Consider the following 19,595-nt stretch of genomic DNA (forward strand, 5'->3'; position numbering starts at 1 on the left):
AAAGAGTTATGCAGGACAGAATGTAGTTACCCAATCTGATCACACAGCTGGATGAAAATCTACGTACAAATTAAAATAAAATGCTTTCTTTCTAAGCACAAGTGGAATATTTGCTAACACTGACTAGGTCAAAGAAAAAGTTCAACAAAGCCCAGACTACAGCCTCTTGACTTCGAGGCAGCAAGTTAAAAGCCAGTAACAGAAAGAAAACCAAATATAATAAAACAGCGAGTAAAGCAAACTCCTATTTATTTGGAAAAATAAAAACTTGTTTCTCAGTAATTGACAGATCAAAGAGAAAACCTGATAGAAATTACAAAACACCTAGAACAGGCCACGCACGGTGGCTCATGCCTTGTAATCCCAGCACTTTAGGGGGCAGAGGCAGGTGGATCACGAGGTCAGGAGTTCAAGACCAGCCTGGCCAATATAGTGAAACCCCATCTCTACTAAAAATACAAAAATTAGCCAGGCATGGTGGCGCATGCCTGTACTCCCAGCTACTCGGGAGGCTGAGGCAGGAGAATCGCTTGAACCTGGGAGGCAGAGGTTGCAGTCAGCCGAGATCATGCCACTGACTCCAGTCTGGGTGACAGAGCGAGACTCCATCTCAAAAAAAAAAAAGAAAAAAAAGAAAAGGAAAACACCTACAACTACACAATGATGAAAACAGCACATCTCAAAACATGTGGCAAATGAGAATGCAGAATGCAGCTAATAGTTCCTAGATTGAAAATGCTGGTCTTTAATGCCTATATTTTAAAAAGAAGGCTAGGTCAGGCATGGTGGCTCACACCTGTAATCCCAGAACTTTTAGAGGCTGAGGCAGGGATATCACTTGAAGCCAGGAGTTTGAAACCAGCCTGATTATCATAGTAAGACTGTGTCTCTATGAAAGAAAAAAAAAGTTAGCTGGGTGTGGTGGTGTAACTCGCCTTTAGTCCCAGGTAGTTGGGAAGCTGAGGCAGGAATATCCCTTGAGCCCAGAAGTTCAGGAGTTCAAGGCTGCAGTGAGTCATGATCGCATCACTGCACTCCAGCCTGGGTGACAGAGTAAGACTGTCTCCAAAAAAAAAAAAAAAAAAAAAAAAGGGACTAAAGATGAAGTTACTGTGGGTCCTGAAGCTACAGATGGCAGCAAGTCAACAGCCATGGTGGTCTCCAAGGCTGCCCACAGATTTTCTTTAGGCCATCGCTGATGGGTTCTATGTATCATTGAAATGAATGGCAATAACACATTCTGGGATGTGGGTAACGCATGGTGCCCTCAGAATGGTCTTGTTGGCTTCACTGTATGACTGATGATCCTCCAACAATAAACAACCTACTGCTTGTAAACTCATTGGACAAGCCATAAACTCAAAGTGATATGTACCTTATTCCACCACTAGAAAGAAGATTCAGGAGTAAGTCCCACCTTCAACACCTTGTAAGTACAGATAAAAAAAAAAAAAAAACAGTTTAAACATGTAAAAAATGGGACTTTTTATGTAGTTGTACTTTTAGGGCTCACCATTAACTTGATTATAATTGACTAAAAGAAAAGAAGACCGAAGACTAGTGATCTCACTGTTCAATTTACAACTTATGGGAAAGAACTATGGACTAAACCAATGGGAGGTAGAAGGAAAGTGTTAATAAAAATCACAGCAGAGGCTGGGCACGGCGGCTCACACCTATAATCCCAGCACTTTGGGAGGCCGAGGCAGGTGGATCACCTGAGGTCAGGCATTCGAGACCAGCCTGATCAACAAGGTGACACCTCGTCTCTACTAAAAGTATAAAAATTAGCCAGGCATGGTGGCAGGTGCCTGTAGTCCTAGCTACTCGGGAGGCTGAGACAGGAGAATCACTTGAACCCAGGAAGCGGAGGTTGCAGTGAGCCGAGATCGTGCCACTGCACTCTAGCCTGGGTGACAGAGCAAGACTGCCTCAGGGGAAAAAAAAAATCGCAGCAGAAATTATGGAAATTAAAAACAAGAAACCAGTTGAGAAAATGAAGAAAACCAAGTCTGTCATTTGAAAAGACAAATGAAAGAGACCATTAAAAAACAGCAAGAAAAAGGCCAGACATGGTGGCTCATACCTGTAATCCCAACACTTTGGGAGGCTAAGGCAGGTGGACTGCTTGAGGTCAGGAGTTTGAGACCACCCTGGGCAACACAGTGAGACCCCATCTCTACAAAAAATACAAAAAAAAAAAAAAAAAAAAAAAGCCAGGCGTACTGGTATGCACCTGTGGTCCCAGCTACTTGGGAAGCTGAGGTGGGACAATCGCTTGAGCCTGGGGGTCAGAGGTTGCAGTGAACGGAGAGAGTGCCACTTCACTCCAGCCTAGCTGACAGAGCAAGACCCTGTCTCAATAAATAAATAAAATTTTTTAAAAAGCAAAAATGAACACATAAGTGATATTAATTGTCAGACAGGGGTTTAACTAACAGTGTAAGGTTAACAAAATGGCAAAGTTGGATTTATCCTAGGAATGTAAGGACTAGGAAACATTGGAACATCTATTAACACAATTCCCCATATTATCAGATTAAAGTAGAAGACAGCGCCCTTACACCTTATCCCAATACATTCAGAAAGTAATATGAAAAAAATCTCACCAAGACTCATGATCAAAATACTCTCAGATTCAAGTAATAGATCCTTTATCTCAAAAATTCAAAAAGTACTTTAAGGAAACCTCAGACTCCTAAGGAAAATTCTTAATAATTAGGGTCATAGGAAATTAATGTGAACATCACACCTTAAACATCAGAAAAAAGGAAACATCAGAATCATTTACTTTCAAGTCCAGGCCAAGGCCTTAGACACTTGCTATGTACACAGCATTCAGCAGTGATGTGGAGGGGCCAGCCAGTCAGGAGGACCATGCTCCCAGCTGTCACCCCTGGATGCTACAAGGACCCCTCCCGTGGAAAGGGCTCCTGAAGCTGCCCTGCCGCATGACATGTTTCCTGTTCTGAATCTTCTGGATAGACTGGGGCCTGGCATGGTCTGTGGCCATCCTGTGAAAACAAGGGACTTGAAAGCACCTCCCCGCACGTTTGTGAAGGGAAGATGCACACGTACAGTTAAAAGAAATAAAATAGGCTGGGTGCGGTGGCTCACACCTGTAATCCCAGCACTTTGGGAGGCTGAGGCAGGCTGATCACATGAGGCCAGGAGTTTGAGAACAGCCTGGCAGACACGGCCAAACCCCATCTCCAGTAAATATACAAAAATTAGCTAGGCATGGTGGTGCACATCTGTAATCCCAGCTACTCGGGAGGCTGAGGCACAAGAATCGCTTAAACCTAGGAGGCGGAGGAGACAGAGCAAGACTGTCTCAAAATTTAAAAAAAAGAAAAAAGAAAAAAAGAAAATAAAAGATGAGATAAATCAGACATATACAGGGTGATATCATTTATGGAATTTCTTCAGACACACAAAATATTCTCTTAGAAATAAAAATATAACGATGCCTTGGCAAGACACCAACCAAGGCTGTGATTACGTCTCTCTTGGGGGTAGGGAGGCTAACTCGCCTTGAGGAACAAAAGGAATGTCCATTTCATCCATAACAGATACTTCCTTTGTTGAAATAAAACTTAAACACCACCAAGAAAGTGAAAACACAACCCACCAAATGGGAGAAAATATTTATATTATGTGTATCTAGAATATCGAAAACTCTTACATTTCAATAATAAAAAGACAAAAACCCAATTTTTAGAAATGGGCGAAGGATCTTGTCTTAGTCTGGGCTGCTACAACAAATAGACTGGGTGGCTTAAACAACAGAAATCTATTTCTCACAGTTCTGGAGGCTAGGAAATCCAAAATCAGTGTGTCAGCATGATTGGTTCTGGTGAGGGTCCTCTTCCTGGTTTGCAGATGGCCACCTTCTCAGTGTGCCTTCACAGGGTACAGCAGGAAGCAGGAGCTCCTGAGAGCTCTCCTGTCTCCTCTTATAAGAGCACTGATTTCATTCAAAAAGGTTCTACCCTCGTGACCTAATTACCTCCCACAGGCCTCATCTCCAAATACCATCACAGTGGGGATAAGGCATCAACATACAAATTTTGAGGGGACACTACATTCACCCCATAGGAGTTCTGAATAGATATTTCCCCAAAGAAGTCATACAAATGGCCAATGAGCACATGAAATGATGATCAATATCATTAGGTATTCGGGAAATGCTGATCAAAACCACAGTGAGATGCCACTTTACACTCACTAGTATGTTCAATATTTAAAAACAAACAAAAACAATAACAAGTATTGGCAAGGATATGGAAAAACTGGAAACTTTTCACTGCCGGTGCAAATATAAAACAGTGTAGCTAATTTGGAAACCAGTCTGATGATTCTCAAAAAGGAAAATATGGAGCTGTCATATGATCCAGCTATTCCACTGCTACGGTTTGGATATGGTTTGTCCACACCAAATCTCATGCTGAAATTTAATCCCTACTGTGGTGGTGCTGGGGCATGCAGCCTACCAGGAGGGGTTTGGGTCATGGAGGTGGAACCCGCATGAATGGCTTGGTGCTGTTCTCACAGTAGTGAGTTCTTGCTCTCATGAGACTGGATCGGTTCTGGGGGAAATGAATTAGTGCCCCCAGAATTGTATTGATTCTTTACATAGACTTAGGGCTTTAGAATTTAAAGAATTATATGGATATTTAATATTACCAGTAAATTTAGAGTACACTGCAAAACAGATTATAAACCGTGCACATTACATAAAAATTTACTCAAAATGGATCAGCCTAAACATAAAAGCTACAACTATAAAACTCTTTCTTTTTTTTTTTTTTTTGAGACAGAGTCTTGCTCTTTTGCTAAGGCTGGTGTGCAGTGGCGTGATCTCGGCTCACTGCAAGCTCCGTCTCCCGGGTTCACGCCATTCTCCTGCCTCAGCCTCCCGAGTAGCTGGGACTACAGGTGCCCGCCACCACACCCAGCTGATTTTTTGTACATTTTTTAGTAGAGATGGGGTTTCACCATGTTGGCCAGGATGGTCTCGATCTCCTGACCTCGTGATCCGCCCACCCCGGCCTCCCAAAGCGCTGGGATTACAGGCGTGACCACCGCGCCCAGCCCTTTTTTTCTTTCTTAAGAGACAGGGTCTCACTCTCTTGTCCAGCCTAGACTGCAAGGTGCAATCAAGGCTCAACACAGCCTCAATCTCCTGGGCTCAAGTGATCCTCCCACCTCAGCTTCCTGAGTAGCTGGGACCACAGTTGCACACCATCACACATAATTTTTTTTTTTTTTTTGAGTTAGAATCTCACTCTGTCTCAGGCTGGAGTACAGTGGCATGATCTCAGCTCACTGCAACCTCCACCTCCTGTGCTCAAGCGATTCTCTTGCCTTGGCCTCTTAAGTGGCACATGCCCCCATGCCTGGCTAATTTTTCTATTTTTAGTAGACAGGGTTTCACCATGTTGGCCAGGCTGGTCCTAAACTCCTAACCTCAAGGGATCTGCATGTCTCAGCCTCGCAAAGTGCTGGGATTACAGACGTGAGCCACCACACCCAGCCTAAATTTTTCTTTTTTTTTTGGTAGAGATGAGGTCTCACTATATGGGCCAGGCTGGTCTTGAACTCCTGGGCTCAAGCAATCCTCCCACCTCAGCCTTCCAAAGTGCTGGGATTACAGTTGTGAGCCACCACGCCTGGCTTAACACTCTTTTTTTTTTTCTGAGACAGAGTCTCGCTGTGTTGCCCAGACTGAAGTGCAGTGGAGCGATCTCAGCTCACTGCAACCTCCTCCTCCCGGGTTCAAGTGATTCTCCTGACTCAGTCTCCCGAGTACCTGGGATTACAGGCATGTGCCACCATGCCTAATTTTTGTATTTTCAGTAGAGACGGGGTTTCTCCATGTTGGTGAGGCTAGTCTTGAACTCCTGACCTAAGGTGATCAGCCTGCCTTGGCCTCCCAAAGTGCTGCGATTACAGGCATAAGCCACTGTGCCCGGCCTGGCCTAATGCTCTTGGCCAGGTGCAGTGGTTCATGCCTGTAATCCCAGCACTTTGGGTGGCTGAGGCAGGTGGATCATTTGAGCTCAGGAATTCAAGACCAGCCTGGGTAACACGGTGAAACCCCATCTCTACTAAAAATACAAAAAATTAGCCAGGCATGGTGGCATGCACCTGTAGTCCCAGCTACTCGGAAGACTGAGGCAGGAGAATCGCTTGAACCCAAGAGGCGGAGGTTGCAGTGAGCCGAGATCATGCCATTGCACTCCAGCCTGGGCAACAAGAGCGAACCTCCATCTCAAAAAAAAAAAAAACAAATTAGCCGGGTATGGTGGCCCTCGCCTGTAATCCCAGCTACTAGGGAGGCTGAGGCAGGAGAATTGCTTGAACCTGGGAAGCAGTTTGCAGTGAGCCCTGATCGTGCCACTGTACTCCAGCTCGGGTGACAGAGCAAGACTACATCTCAAAAATAAAATAAAATAAAAAAAGACCCATGCTATAACATGAAACATTTTCCTAAGTCTAACAAGCCACATACAAAAGACCACATACTGCAGGCTATTTATATGAAATGTCCATAACAGGCAAATCTATAAGACAGAAAGTAGATTAGAGATTACCTAGGGCTGGGAAAGATGGGGGAGTGACTGCTAATGGTATGGGTTTTCTTTTTCAGGGGTGATGAAAACATTCGAAGATTGACTGTGGCAATGGATATACAAGCTAGTTAATATAATAAAAAACAATGAATTGTACACTTAAAAGGGTAAATTGTATGCTATGTGAATTATATCTCAATAAAGCTGTTTAAAAGAGTAAGTATGTGTCGAGTCTGTAAGGGTCAGAACCACTAGTCTAGACCCCATCTGCCACATTTCTGGTATTTTAGGACTTTATAAAGGAAATAACAGTCCTTGCAGGGATGTGCTGAGCTCATGTAGACTTCCATTCCCTGGTACTCACCTCTGAAAGGCAGAGGGATCCATTCAGGCCAGGTGTGTGGATACTTGACATCGATGGTTGCTGGACATTAGCCATTTATGCCCATCCACACGGCTCCAGCCATCTCTGTGGGACACCCATAATAATGTTTACTTTACTTGTTCACAACTCATTAACAAAAATAAATCATTTACCAACTTTAATCCCATCCTGACAAAGTCAGCCATGTGATTACAAGTGTGATAAAGAGTCTGACTCCATTTTGGATGGTTGCTGACAGCTTTCAAGCCCCAACCCCTTTCTCCTTCTCCCTCTCATCTGGGCAAGCCAACAAGAAAGTCTGGGAGTTTCCTCCTTGGTGCCAGCAGGAAGTTCAAACTATGCAAGCCCCAACCCCAACCCCATTACCTAATCACAGTGAAAGCCCAGCCACAGCCGGGTGCACTGGATAACACCTGTAATACCAGCACTTTGGGAGGTTGAGGCAGGAGGATCACTTGAGCCTAGGAGTTCAAGGCCAGCTTAGACAATGTAGTGAAATGCCTTTAGCCAGGCGTGATGGTGCATACCTGAAGTCCCAGCTACTTGGTAGCCCAGGAGCTCAAGGCTGCAGTGAGCTGTGATCGTGCCACTGCACTCCAGCCTGGGTGAGACAGCAAGACCCTATCTCAAAAAAAAGAAAACAAAAATTAACAAAAATTATATAGTATCTTTGTGGTGAAAACTTGAAAAAGTTTACTCAAGACCTGAGAGGGCATTTGAGTAAGAGAGGAGCTAGACCAGGTACACAGATGAAAGGGCTGGGTACTGAAACCAGGACAACTCTCACTAGACCTGTAAAAGCAATGCCTTCCAAGCAAATCTCTGGAATAATTTTACTGATGCGTGACAAAATTCACACTGAAGAAGACAGCTTCCTGAAATATCCATGACAACTCCTTAAAAAACAAAAAGAAGAGAGGAAAAAGAGCTAGGAGTAGTTGTTTTGCCAAAGTCAAGGCTCCTCCTTAAAGTTCCAGTAAGCAAGCAACCCAGTGAAGGTACAGGAAGGACAGAGCCCCAAACAGACTTGGAGGCATTTAATAATTTAAAAGGTGATAAAGGTGGCCTCACACATTAGCAAAAGTAAGTATATCTCGTGCTGTCTTTTCAGATGGAAAAATAATTACAATTCCAAATTCACTCACGCTCACACACAGGCTTATAAGACCTAAATAGTATGTGAGAAAAAATTTTTTTGAATGATTAGAAATAATAGAACTAGGCTGGGCGCAGTGGCTCACACTTATAATCCCAGGACTTTGGGAGGCCGAGGCAAGTGGATCACCCGAGGTCAGGAGTTCGAGACCAGCCTGGCCAACATAGTGAAACCCTGTCTCTACTAGAAATACAAAAATTAGCCAGGCGTGGTGGCAGGCGCCCGTAATCTCAGCTACTCGGGAGGCTGAGGGAGAAGAATTGCTGGAACCCGGGAGGCAGAGGTTGCAGTGAGCCGAGATTGCACCATTTCACTCCAGCCCGGGCAACAACAGCGAGACTCAGTCTCAAAAAATAAATAAATAAATAAATATAGAACTACAAGAATATCTTTGAGTTATCAGAGTAGAAAAAAATTGTGGGTTTTTTTGTTGTTGTTATTTTTTATTTTTTTATTTTTCAGATGGAGTCTTGCTCTGTTGCCCAGGCTGGAGTGCAGTGGCGTGATCTCAACTCACTGCAACCTCCGCCTCCTGGGTTCAAGCAATTCTCTTGCCTCAGCCTCCTGAGTAGCCAGGACTACAGGTACCTGCCACCACACGCAGCTAATTTTACATCTATATCTATCTATCTATCTATCTATCTATCTATATATATATATATATTTTTTTTTTGAGACGGAGTCTCGCTCTGTAGCTGGGCTGGAGTGCAGTGGCGCGATCTCGGCTCACTGCAACCTCCGCTTCCTGGGTTCAAGTGACTCTCGTGCCTCAGCCTCCCGAGTAGTTGGGATTACAGGCACGCGTCACCACACTCGGCTAATTGTTTATATTTTTAATAGAGATGGGGTTTCACCAAGTCGGCCAGGCTGATCTTGAACTCCTGACCTCAGGTGATCTGCCTGCCTCGACCTCCCAAAATGCTAGGATTACAGGCATGAGCCATGGCGCCCAGCCAAGAATTTTTTTTTTTTTTTTTTTTTTTAAAGAGACAGAGTCTTGCTTTGATGCTCAGGCTTGAATGCAGTAGTATGATCATGGCTCACTGTAATCTTGAATGCCTGGGCTCAGGAGCCATGACCATAGGAGTATGCCATCACACCTGGATAATTTTTTTTCTTTTTTTTTTTTTTTTTGATACAGAGTTTTGATCTGTCACCCAGGCTGGAGTGCAGTGGTGCGATCTCTGCTCACTGCAAGCTCTGCCTCCCGGGTTCACGCCATTCTCCTGCCTCAGCCTCCCGAGTAGCTGGGACTTCAGGTGCCTGCCACCATGCCTGGCTAATTTTTTGTATTTTTAGTACAGACGGGGTTTCACCATGTTAGCCAAGATGGTCTCGATCTCCTGACCTCGTGACCCGCCCGCCTCGGCCTCCCAAAGTGCTGGAATTACAGGCGTGAGCCACCGCGCCTGGCCATTTTTTTTTTTTAAATGTTTTGTAGAGATTGGGTCTCACTGTGTTGCCCAGGCTGGTTTCAAACTCCTGAGCTCAAGTGATCCTCCAGCCTCAGATTCCCAAAGTGCTGGGATTAAGGCGTGAGCCACCACTACATCAAGCCAAAAAAAATTTCTTTTTTCTTCCTTTTTTTTTTTTTTTTTTTTTTTTGGAGACAGTGCCTCACTCTGTCACCCAGGCTGGAGTGTAGTGGCATGATCTCAGCTCACTGCAACCTCCGCCTCCTGGGTTTAAGTGATTCTCCTGCCTCAGCTGCCTGAGTAGCTTGGATTACATGTGCCCACCACCATACCCAGCTAATTTTTATATTTTTAGTAGAGATGGGGTTTCACCATGTCGGCCAGGCTGGTGTTGAACTCCTGACCTCAAGTGATCTACCCGCCTCAGCTTCCCAAGGTGCTGGGATTATAGGCGCGAGCCACTGCGCCAAGCCAAAGAATTTCTCAACTCACAAAAGGCACAAAACATAAAGAAAAAGATTTGAAACATCTTACTATATCAAAATGAGTAATACACCATGAACATAAGATTAAAAGAACATTCAAAGTACCATCTCTAGAATGGCTTATCAATTACAGAGGGGAAAAAGCGGAGGATCCTGGCAGAGAGCACTTTAACCACATGACAAAAACCTGATCACCACCAGCCTCACATGCTTCCTGACACGACACACCAAGAAGAACATGATGTCACTTAGACAATGCCCTGCCAAAGACGAGAGTCTGAATTTAATATTGGGAATGTCAACTGAACATCAAGTGACAATCTACACAACCACCAGCTGGGTCTTTTAAAAATATATCAATTTCATGAAAAAAAAAAAAAAAGAAAGGAGAGTGCCATTCAAGGTTGAGGAAGACTAAAATAACATGACAAGTCAATGTAACACAGGATCCTGGATTGGATCCTGGATCAAAACAAATACCCAAAAACCATACAAACTGTATCAGCTGCATACAAACTATATCAGACAGGAATTCTGTATCAATAATAAAGTATCTGGGGCCAGGCGCAGTGGCTCACACCTGTAATCCCAGCACTGTAGGAGGCCAAGGTGGGCAGATCACTTGAAGTCAGGAGTTCAAGACCAGCCTGGCCAACATGGCGGAACCCCGTCTCTACTAAAAATACAAATATTAGCTGGGCATAGTGGCACACACCTGTAATTCCAGCTACTTGGGAGGCTGAGGCAGGAAAACCACTTGAGCCTGGGAAGTAGAGGTTGCAGTGAGCCGAGATCGCTCCACTGCACTCTACCCTGGGTGACGGAGTAAGATTCCATCTTTAAAAAAAAAAAGTAGGTGGTACCTGGTCAAGAGAGGAAGGTAGTCCCTCTCCCTCTCCCCCTCCCCCTCTCCCTCTCCCCACGGTCTCCCTCTCCCTCTCTTTCCACGGTCTCCCTCTGATGCCGAGCCGAAGCTGGACGGTACTGCTGCCATCTCGGCTCACTGCAACCTCCCTGCCTGATTCTCCCGCCTCAGCCTGCCGAGTGCCTGCAATTGCAGGCACGCGCCGCCACGCCTGACTGGTTTTCGTATTTTTTTGGTGGAGACGGGGTTTCGCTGTGTTGGCCAGGCTGGTCTCCAGCTCCTAACCACGAGTGATCCGCCAGCCTCGGCCTCCCGAGGTGCCGGGATTGCAGACGGAGTCTGGTTCACTCAGTGCTCAATGGTGCCCAGGCTGGAGTGCAGTGGCGTGATCTTGGCTTGCTACAACCTCCACCTCCCAGCCACCTGCCTTGGCCTCCCAAAGTGCCGAGAGTGCAGCCTCTGCCCGGCCGCCACCCTGTCTGGGAAGTGAGGAGCATCTCTGCCTGGCCGCCCATCATCTGGGACGTGAGGAGCCCCTCTGCCTGGCTGCCCAGTCTGGAAAGTGAGGAGCGTCTCTGCCCGGCCGCCATCCCATCTAGGAAGTGAGGAGCGTCTCTGCCCGGCCGCCCATCGTCTGAGATGTGGGGAGCGCCTCTGCCCCGCCGCCCCATCTGGGATGTGAGGAGCGCCTCTGCCCGGCCGCGACCCCGTCTGGGAGGTGAGGAGCGTCTCTGCCCAGCCGCCCCGTCTGAGAAGTGAGGAGACCCTCCGCCTGGCAACCGCCCCGTCTGAGAAGTGAGGAGCCCCTCCGCCAGGCAGCCGCCCCGTCTGAGAAGTGAGGAGCCCCTCCGCCCGGCAGCCACCCCGTCTGGGAAGTGAGGAGCGTCTCCGCCTGGCAGCCACCCCGTCCAGGAGGGAGGTGGGGGGCCAGCCCCCCGCCCGGCCAGCCGCCCCGTCCGGGAGGTGAGGGGCGCCTCTGCCCAGCCGCCCCTACTGGGAAGTGAGGAGCCCCTCTGCCCGGCCAGCCGCCCCGCCCGGGAGGGAGGTGGGGGGGTCAGCCCCCCGCCCGGCCAGCCGCCCCGTCCGGGAGGGAGGTGGGGGGGTCAGCCCTCCGCCTGGCCAGACGCCCCGTCCAGGAGGGAGGTGGGGGGCCAGCCCCCCGCCCGGCCAGCCGCCCTGTCTGGGAGATGAGGGGCGCCTCTGCCCGGCTGCCCCACTGGGAAGTGAGGAGACCCTCTGCCCGGCCAGCCGCCCCGTCCGGGAGGGAGGTGGGGGGGGTCAGCCCCCCCACCCGGCCAGCCGCCCCGTCCGGGAGGTGAGGGGCGCCTCTGCCCAGCCGCCCCTACTGGGAAGTGAGGAGCCCCTATGCCCAGCCACCACCCCGTCTGGGAGGTGTACCCAACAGCTCAATGAGAACGGGCCATGATGACAATGGCGGTTTTGTGGAATAGAAAGGGGGGAAAGGTGGGGAAAAGATTGAGAAATCGGATGGTTGCCGTGTCTGTGCAGAAAGTAGACATGGGAGACTTTTCATTTTGTTCTGTACTAAGAAAAATTCTTCTGCCTTGGGATCCTGTTGATCTGTGACCTTACCCCCAACCCTGTGCTCTCTGAAACATGTGCTGTGTCCACTCAGGGTTAAATGGATTAAGGGCGGTGCAAGATGTGCTTTGTTAAACAGATGCTTGAAGGCAGCATGCTCCTTAAGAGTCATCACCACTCCCTAATCTCAAGTACCCAGGGACACAAACACTGCGCGGAAGGCCGCAGGGTCCTCTGCCTAGGAAAACCAGAGACCTTTGTTCACTTATTTATCTGCTGACCTCCCCTCCACTATTGTCCTATGACCCTGCCAAATCCCCCTCTGCGAGAAACACCCAAGAATGATCAATTAAAAAAAAAAAAAAAAAAAGAGAGGAAGGTAAAAAATTTCCCTGTTTCTTCTTTTCCAGGTTCAGATTGGCAGGAAAAAAAAATTACAAATAAAAAACAATTAGTTTTTTGAAAAAAAAAAAGTATACTTGGGTGTGATAATAACACTAGTTTTGTTTAAATGTTCAAATGTTCTTTTTGGCTGGGTGTGGTGGCTCACACCTGTAATCCCACCACTTTGGGAGGCCAAGGCAGGAGGACTGCTTAAGACCAGGAGTTCAAGAACAGTCTGGGCAACATAGTGAGATCTCATCTCTATAAAAAATACAAAATTAAAAAATAAGAACGTTACTTTTCTTATGAGATCCTGGCTGAAGTATTTCAGAGTGAGGTATGATATCTATAACATACTTCCAGTAACTCAGCCAAAAAAACTAAGTGTATGTAAATATATGTCTGTATCACACCTGCCTCTGCAACACCTGCTGTGTGTACAAGTGTGTGTAAAATATAAAAAGAAAACCCTATGTCAGAGGCGTTTGAACCAAAGCAAACCTCCATCTTAAATGGGGACTGGGTAAAATAAGGCTGAAACCTACTGGGCTGCATTTCCAGACAGTTAAGGCATTCTAGGTCATAGGATAACACAGGAGATTTGCACAAGATACAGGTCATAAAGACCTTGTTGATAAAACAGCTTGCAGTAAAGGTGGCTAAAACCCACCAAAACCAAGATGGCAACGAGAGTGACCTCTGGTCCTGCTCCCACTAGCACCATGACAGTTTACAAATGTCATGGAAACATCAGGAAGTTACCCTATATGGCCTAAAAATGGTAGGCATGAATAATCCACCCCTTGTTTAGCATATAATCAAGAAATAACCATAAAAATGGGCGACCAGCAGTTCTTGGGGCTGCTCTATCTATGGAGTAGCCATTTTTTTATTCCTTTACTTTCTTAATAAGCTTGCTTTCACTTTACTCTATGGACTCGCCCTGAATTTTCTTTCCCAAGATATAAGAACCCTCTGTTGGGTTATAGCTCGGGACCCCCTTTCTGGTAACACCTATGCATGTGTCTCAGGCAGGGAGAAGATAAAGATAAAGCTAATGTGGCAAAAAGTGTTAATAATTTTAGAATCTGGATGGTTTTAGAAGTGTTAAACTATTCCTGCAACTTCTATGCAAATGCGGAACTTTTCAAAATGAAAAGTTGGGTGAAGAGAGAGGTAAACAAGCAGTAGAATGGAGGAAAGTCACTTGCTGTGGGAAAAAAGAAAAAACAGACAAAAACTGGGTATTCAAAACGTACTTCAACAAGCCCAAGTTCCTATAGCCAAATTTTTTAACTTGGCAAAAAATAAAGGACCTTTTCAGGCTGATGGTAATTTTAATAAAGGTTTAGGTTGCATTTGTCAAAATTCATCAATGGTACAGGGAATATCTGTGCATTTCACTGAAAGTCAATTTTGGCTCAAAAAATTTAAAAAAGCACTACTGAACTCTAATTCATGGTAAGCATAGTGAGGTGTTTGAGGGAGAAGTGTTGTGATATCTGCAACTTACTTTGAAATGTTTCCAAAAATAGGTGGATTAATGAATGGCTGAAAGGATGGACAGAAGGAAAGATAAGGGATACAGTAAGTTCAGCAGACGTTAACCGGGTCGTTCACTGCACAAGTCTTTCAGCTTCTCTATCTAAACCAACATTTTATGTCATAAAATATTGAGACTGGAAGACTGCACAAAGGAAATATGCCACTAAACCAAGGGAAAAGACAGCAAAATGGTCACTAAACACGTGCAAAAATGCGGCCCTCACTGAGAATTGCAGTAAAACATGATTTTGCAAATATCAAATGGAAAAACACACAGGTGATCTAACACCTTCGAGACTCAAGGGGAAGCGGCTCAGCCCACTGGCTCACGGCCGCCAATTCAGCCGGAGGCCGACCCAAGCCTACACTGCCCCTCACACCTGACAGAAAAGCTGCAGACTCGGGGGTTACCCCCGGAGACGGACCAGGACACCCAGCAGGCGTGGCAAAACAGTCTCTATGGGAGGGCGGGCTAGAGATGCGAGCGCGGAACTCACGGGTGACGCTAAGGAAAGAGCGGGGGCGTCCAGACCAGCCCCGGAGCGACCTCGTCCTCAGAGGAGTGACCCCAATCGCCACGGAGCGTCCCCACCCACCAGGAGAACTACGCCCCTGGCCAGACCCTCGCCCTAGCGGGCCCGACATGCCCACCACCCAGGTGAAACCCACCCGCGGACGCGCCCCTCGCCGCCCCACAAGGACCCGGCGGACCTCCACCCGCCAAGACTTCCCTCCGCAGGAAACGGAGGCAGCGCAGGGCTCAGGGATGCGTCGGCACTTACGGTTGGCGGCCGGCGGCAGCCATGTTCCGGGCGATTGCGCTTGCGCGGCTGCCGGGACAAGGATGTGCGCGTGCGCGGAGTCCCCGAGCTTCCCCCGCCCAACGCTGGGGCGGCCGCGGGTACCGGGTTATTCATTACCCTGGCGTGGACTTGCCTCGGGGCGGACGCGCAGGCATTTACTTTCTCCTATGGTCTCCTCTGATTTTTAACCCGATGCTATCATTCTTTTGTTATAGAGCCTTCCTTTTATTTACTGCATAATTTCCTAAAATATTTCTTTATCTATAATCTTTTTTTGAGATAATAATGTTAAAATTCAGAATAAGTACACTCATTATTCATTGGCAATATAATTATTTACTGGGTGCGTGGCTCACGCCTGTAATCCCAGCATTTTGGGAGGCCTAATTTGTTAAAATGACTAGATCTAAGAAATGTAAACAAAGCCAGTAACTTTCCTCTGTAGTAACAATAGCCGGTTGAAAATGAAAACTACACATTTTCATTCTTTCAGTGGTTCTCTTAAACTTTAGCATGGGGAAGCCTAAATATTTACTGACAGGGAAGAGAGAAACTGTGGTATGTGCAACGGAGCAATAGGGGGTGGTTAAAACAAACGGACTGGGCTCACCTAAGGTCAGGAGTTTGAGACCAGCCTGGCCAACATGGTGAAACCCCGTCTCCACTAAAAATACAAAAATTAGCTAGGCGTGGTGGCAGGCGCCTGTAATCCCAGCTCCTCGGGAGGCTGAGGCAAGAGAATCACTTGAACCTGGGAGGCGGAGGTTGCAGTGAGCTGAGATCGTACCATCACACTCCAGCCTGGGGGACAAGAGGGAGACTTCGTCTCAAAAAAAAAAAAAAAAAAAAGGACTAACTTATATACAAGATAGACAGTTCTCCAAAAACAGTTCGAAAAGTAAACTGTGCACTTATCCACATGATACAACTTACCTGGAAATAAAAGACACAAAATCTATATGTTATACAGAGATTGATACATAAGTAGTAAAGTAACAATAACATGGACCAGATAGATTGTCCAACCTCAAGAAAGTGGCAACTGAGGGGAAAGAGTTGGGGAGGAGACAAAGGAGACCTCAGTTACACCTGTGATGCTTGATAGGAAAAAACAAATCAAAACCTGAAAATCTGACTACATGTTAACACAGGTAAAATCTCGATGATACATGGGTGTCATCTTTATTATTTATAGATTATTCTATTACTCTCCGAACCTCTCCGCAGGTTGAAATACTTCACAATTTTGAAATGAAAATTAGAAAAAAAATTCTAAGCCATAATAGTGATTAAATTGTCACTCACAATAGTGATGGTTGGAGCAACTTGGAAATCAATTAGCAAAAGCAATAAAGGATCTTCATGAAGAAAATACAAAAACCTCATTAACAGACCTGAAGTTAAGTTCAGAACACACTGACATATTATTCCTGAATGGAAAGTATTTTTTTAATTTCTCCATGAAGGCCGTATCAGACCAGGCACAGTGGCTCATGCCTGTAATTCCAACTCTTTGGGAAGCCGGGCTGGGGGGATCACCTGAGGTCAGGAGTTCAAGATGAGCCTGGCCAACATGGTGAAACCCCATCTCTAAAAATATAAAAATTGGCTGGGCACAGTGGCTCATGCCTGCAATCCTAGTACTCGGTCTCAAAAAAAAAAAAAAAATCTTCACAAAACTACTAAACAAAAGTATAGCAATTCCAATTCAAAGACTCCCCCCGCCCCCAGCTCACAGAATAAAACAACTTAAAGATCATATGGAGAAAAGTCCAACAGTATCTGGTTAAAAGAACAGTCGGAGACCGGACGCGGTGGCTCACAACTGTAATCCCAGCACTTTGGGAGGCCGAGGCAGGTGGATCACTTGAGGTCAGGAATTCAAGACCAGCCTGGCAAACATTGTGAAACCTGTCTCTACTAAAAATACAAAAATTAGCCGGGGGTGGTGGCGGGTGCCTATAATCCTAGCTACTCCGGAGGCTGAGGCAGGAGAATTGCCTGAATCCTGGAGGCGGAGGTTGCAGTGAGCTGAGATCGTGCCACTGCACTCCAGCCTGGGTGACAGCTATACTCTCGTCTCAAAAAAAAAAGTCAGGCACCCTTTATTAGATACTAAAATGTACCATATTAAGCAGATGGGCTCAAATAGGCACTAATACAGACACAAATATCAGAAGAATAGAAGAGTATGCAAGAAGAGATGAGTAAAAGTAATAATCTAGTAATAAAGTTAACAATAAAGCATAACATCATTAATAATAACAAGGGTGTTTTTTCCATTCAGTGGCAAAGAGAAATCCTTAGTGCTAAGTACTGTGCTGGCACAAGTGTATATTCTTTTTTGTATTTTTTGAGACTGAGTCTCACTCTGTCCCCCAGGCTGGAGTGCAGTGACAAGATCTCAGCTCACTGCAACCTCCACCTTCCAGGTTCAAGTGAATCTCCTGCCTCAGCCTCCAGAGTAGCTGGGATTACATGCGCACACCACCACACCCGGCTAATTTTTGTATTTTTAGTAGAGACAGGGTTTCACCTTGTTGGCCAGGCTGGTCTCAAACTCCTGACCTCAGGTGATCCACCCACCTCAGCCTCCCAAAGTGCTGGGATGACAGGCGTGAGCCACTGCGCCTGGCCACAAGTGTATATTCTTGTAGGTCACATGTAGGCAATCTTTTTCTGTGAAAAGCCCAATAATAAATATTTTCAGCTTTGCAGACCATAAGGTCTCTGCCATGACTACCCAACTCTTCCAGATAGCAGCATAGATAATACTAAACAAACAAGTGTGACTGCATTCCAATAAAACTTTACAGAAACAGAAGGCCCACTGAGGCCATTGTTTGCCAATCCCTGTTCAGGAATTATCTGTTTGTTCTTGGGGTAGGAGACTTTCTACATCAAGATAAGCATCCCAGAAGTCATTTACAAAATGGCACTTTTTTTTTCTCTTAGAAATGGGGTCTTGCTTTGCTGTCCAGGATGTAGTCCAGTGGCATGATCATAGCCCACTGCAGCCTTGACCTCCTGGGCTCAAGCAATCCTCCCATCTCGACCTCCCCAGTTGCTGGGACTACAGGTGTACACCACCATGCCTGGCTAATTTTTTTAGTACAGATGGGGTCTCACTATTTTACCCAGGCTGCTCTCAAACTCCAGGGCTCAAGTAATCCTCAGCCTCCCAAAGTGCTGGCGTTACAGGCGTGATCCACCCTGCCTGGCCAACATATGTGATTTTTTTTTTTTTTTGAGACAGTCTTGCTCTATCGCCCAGGCTGGGGTGCAGTGGCGTGATCTCAGCTCACTGCAGCCTCCAAACTCTGCATCCCCGGTTCAAGCGATTCTCCTGTTTCAGCCTCCCAAGTAGCAGGGATTACAGGCACGTGCCACCACGCGCGGCTAATTTTTGTATTTTTAGTAGAGACGGGGTTTCACCATGTTGGCCAGGCTGGTCTACAACCCCTGAGCTCAGGCAATCCGCCCGCTTGGGCCACCCAAAGTGCCGGGATTACAGGCGTCAGCCACAGCTGTAACTTATTTAATGGGGCACTCAAGGCCTTTTGCTGCTGGCTCAACATCCCTTTCAGGCCTTCACTGACCTATGCCACACAGCACTTGCGCCCAGGGATAAAGAGCCGGATCAGCTTCTGCTCACCCCAGTCCTCTTGCCAGAAAGGCCCTCTGGCCTTTGTCCAGTTGCTGGACGCTGCCTCTTCTTTCTGGTTGGTCTCCTCCTCCAGGAGGCATTCGCGAACGCCCCAGTGGAGCCACACGGTCCATGCCTCTTCCACTTATTTCCCCAGGGCTCACATTCCACAACTACTAAATCAACACCGACACACTCATAAGCAGCCCCTTCCTCGTCCTTTTTTTCCTTCTGAGCTCGGGAACGTCTGCTGGGGGTGAGGGGGACTCGCAGACCACCCCCCCCCCCGCCCCAGGCGGAGGTCGGGGGCCGTCACCTGGCCAGGTGTCCGGGGAACGGCTCGGGCGGCTGACACCGCAGTCCGCGAGAGGCGAGGAGGATCCTTGGACTGTGGGCAGGATCGCAGGCAGCGGAGGCCCTGCCCGGAAGGCGGGATCTGGGGACGATCCCCATTCCTCCCAGCCGCAGACGCGGAGCCCACAGGAGTCCCCGCAGCCCTAGCCCGTGCACCCACGGCGGAGCCGAGGCCGCGACTCCGGGCCTGTTGGCTGGAACCCGCAGCCGTGTCTCGGGCCGCCCCGGTAGCGGCCACCCCTGAGAGCACTCGGCCCCGTTCTATCCCGCAGTGGTTTGGGGAGTGCAGGTCATCACTCCCACCCGCCAAGGCGGACGCCGGACCCTCCATTGCGCATGAGCGCCCACTGCGGCGCCGTTGCTGCGCATGAGTGTGCTTCCACCGCCTACATCTCCCAGAAAACCCCGCGGCGCGGCGCTCCACCGCTTCCGCCCTCGGG

At 47.3% G+C, this 19,595-nt stretch overlaps 1 protein-coding gene across 11 annotated transcripts in view, besides 1 other annotated feature; it reads right to left on the minus strand.

The window, feature by feature from the left end:
- The window catches only part of ZNF329 (zinc finger protein 329), a 28,857-nt gene extending 9,370 nt beyond the window's left edge, over positions 1-19,487 (minus strand). For 2 of the 11 annotated variants that reach the window (XM_006723381.3, XM_011527312.3), the window contains exons 1-2: positions 15,135-15,172; positions 6,940-7,044 (exon numbers count right to left, since the gene is read on the minus strand). Coding sequence is in view for 6 of the 11 variants with exons in the window: in XM_011527312.3 (XP_011525614.1) it covers positions 6,940-6,962 (23 nt within the window). In the remaining 5 variants the exon portion in view is untranslated. The other 9 variants (XM_011527310.3, XM_047439443.1, NM_024620.4 and 6 more) reach the window with 9 other exon arrangements.
- Positions 15,249-15,308: an enhancer, noted in NCBI's record as "active region_15178". NCBI's record gives its function as "activates an Ori minimal core promoter by ATAC-STARR-seq in GM12878 lymphoblastoid cells {active_cell/tissue: GM12878}" and the evidence as "EXISTENCE:reporter gene assay evidence [ECO:0000049][PMID:35858748]".
- Positions 19,488-19,595: the final 108 nt, after the last annotated feature.

This window comes from Homo sapiens, chromosome 19 (genome assembly GCF_000001405.40).
Source record: "Homo sapiens chromosome 19, GRCh38.p14 Primary Assembly".
NCBI classification, from domain to species: domain Eukaryota; kingdom Metazoa; phylum Chordata; class Mammalia; order Primates; family Hominidae; genus Homo; species Homo sapiens.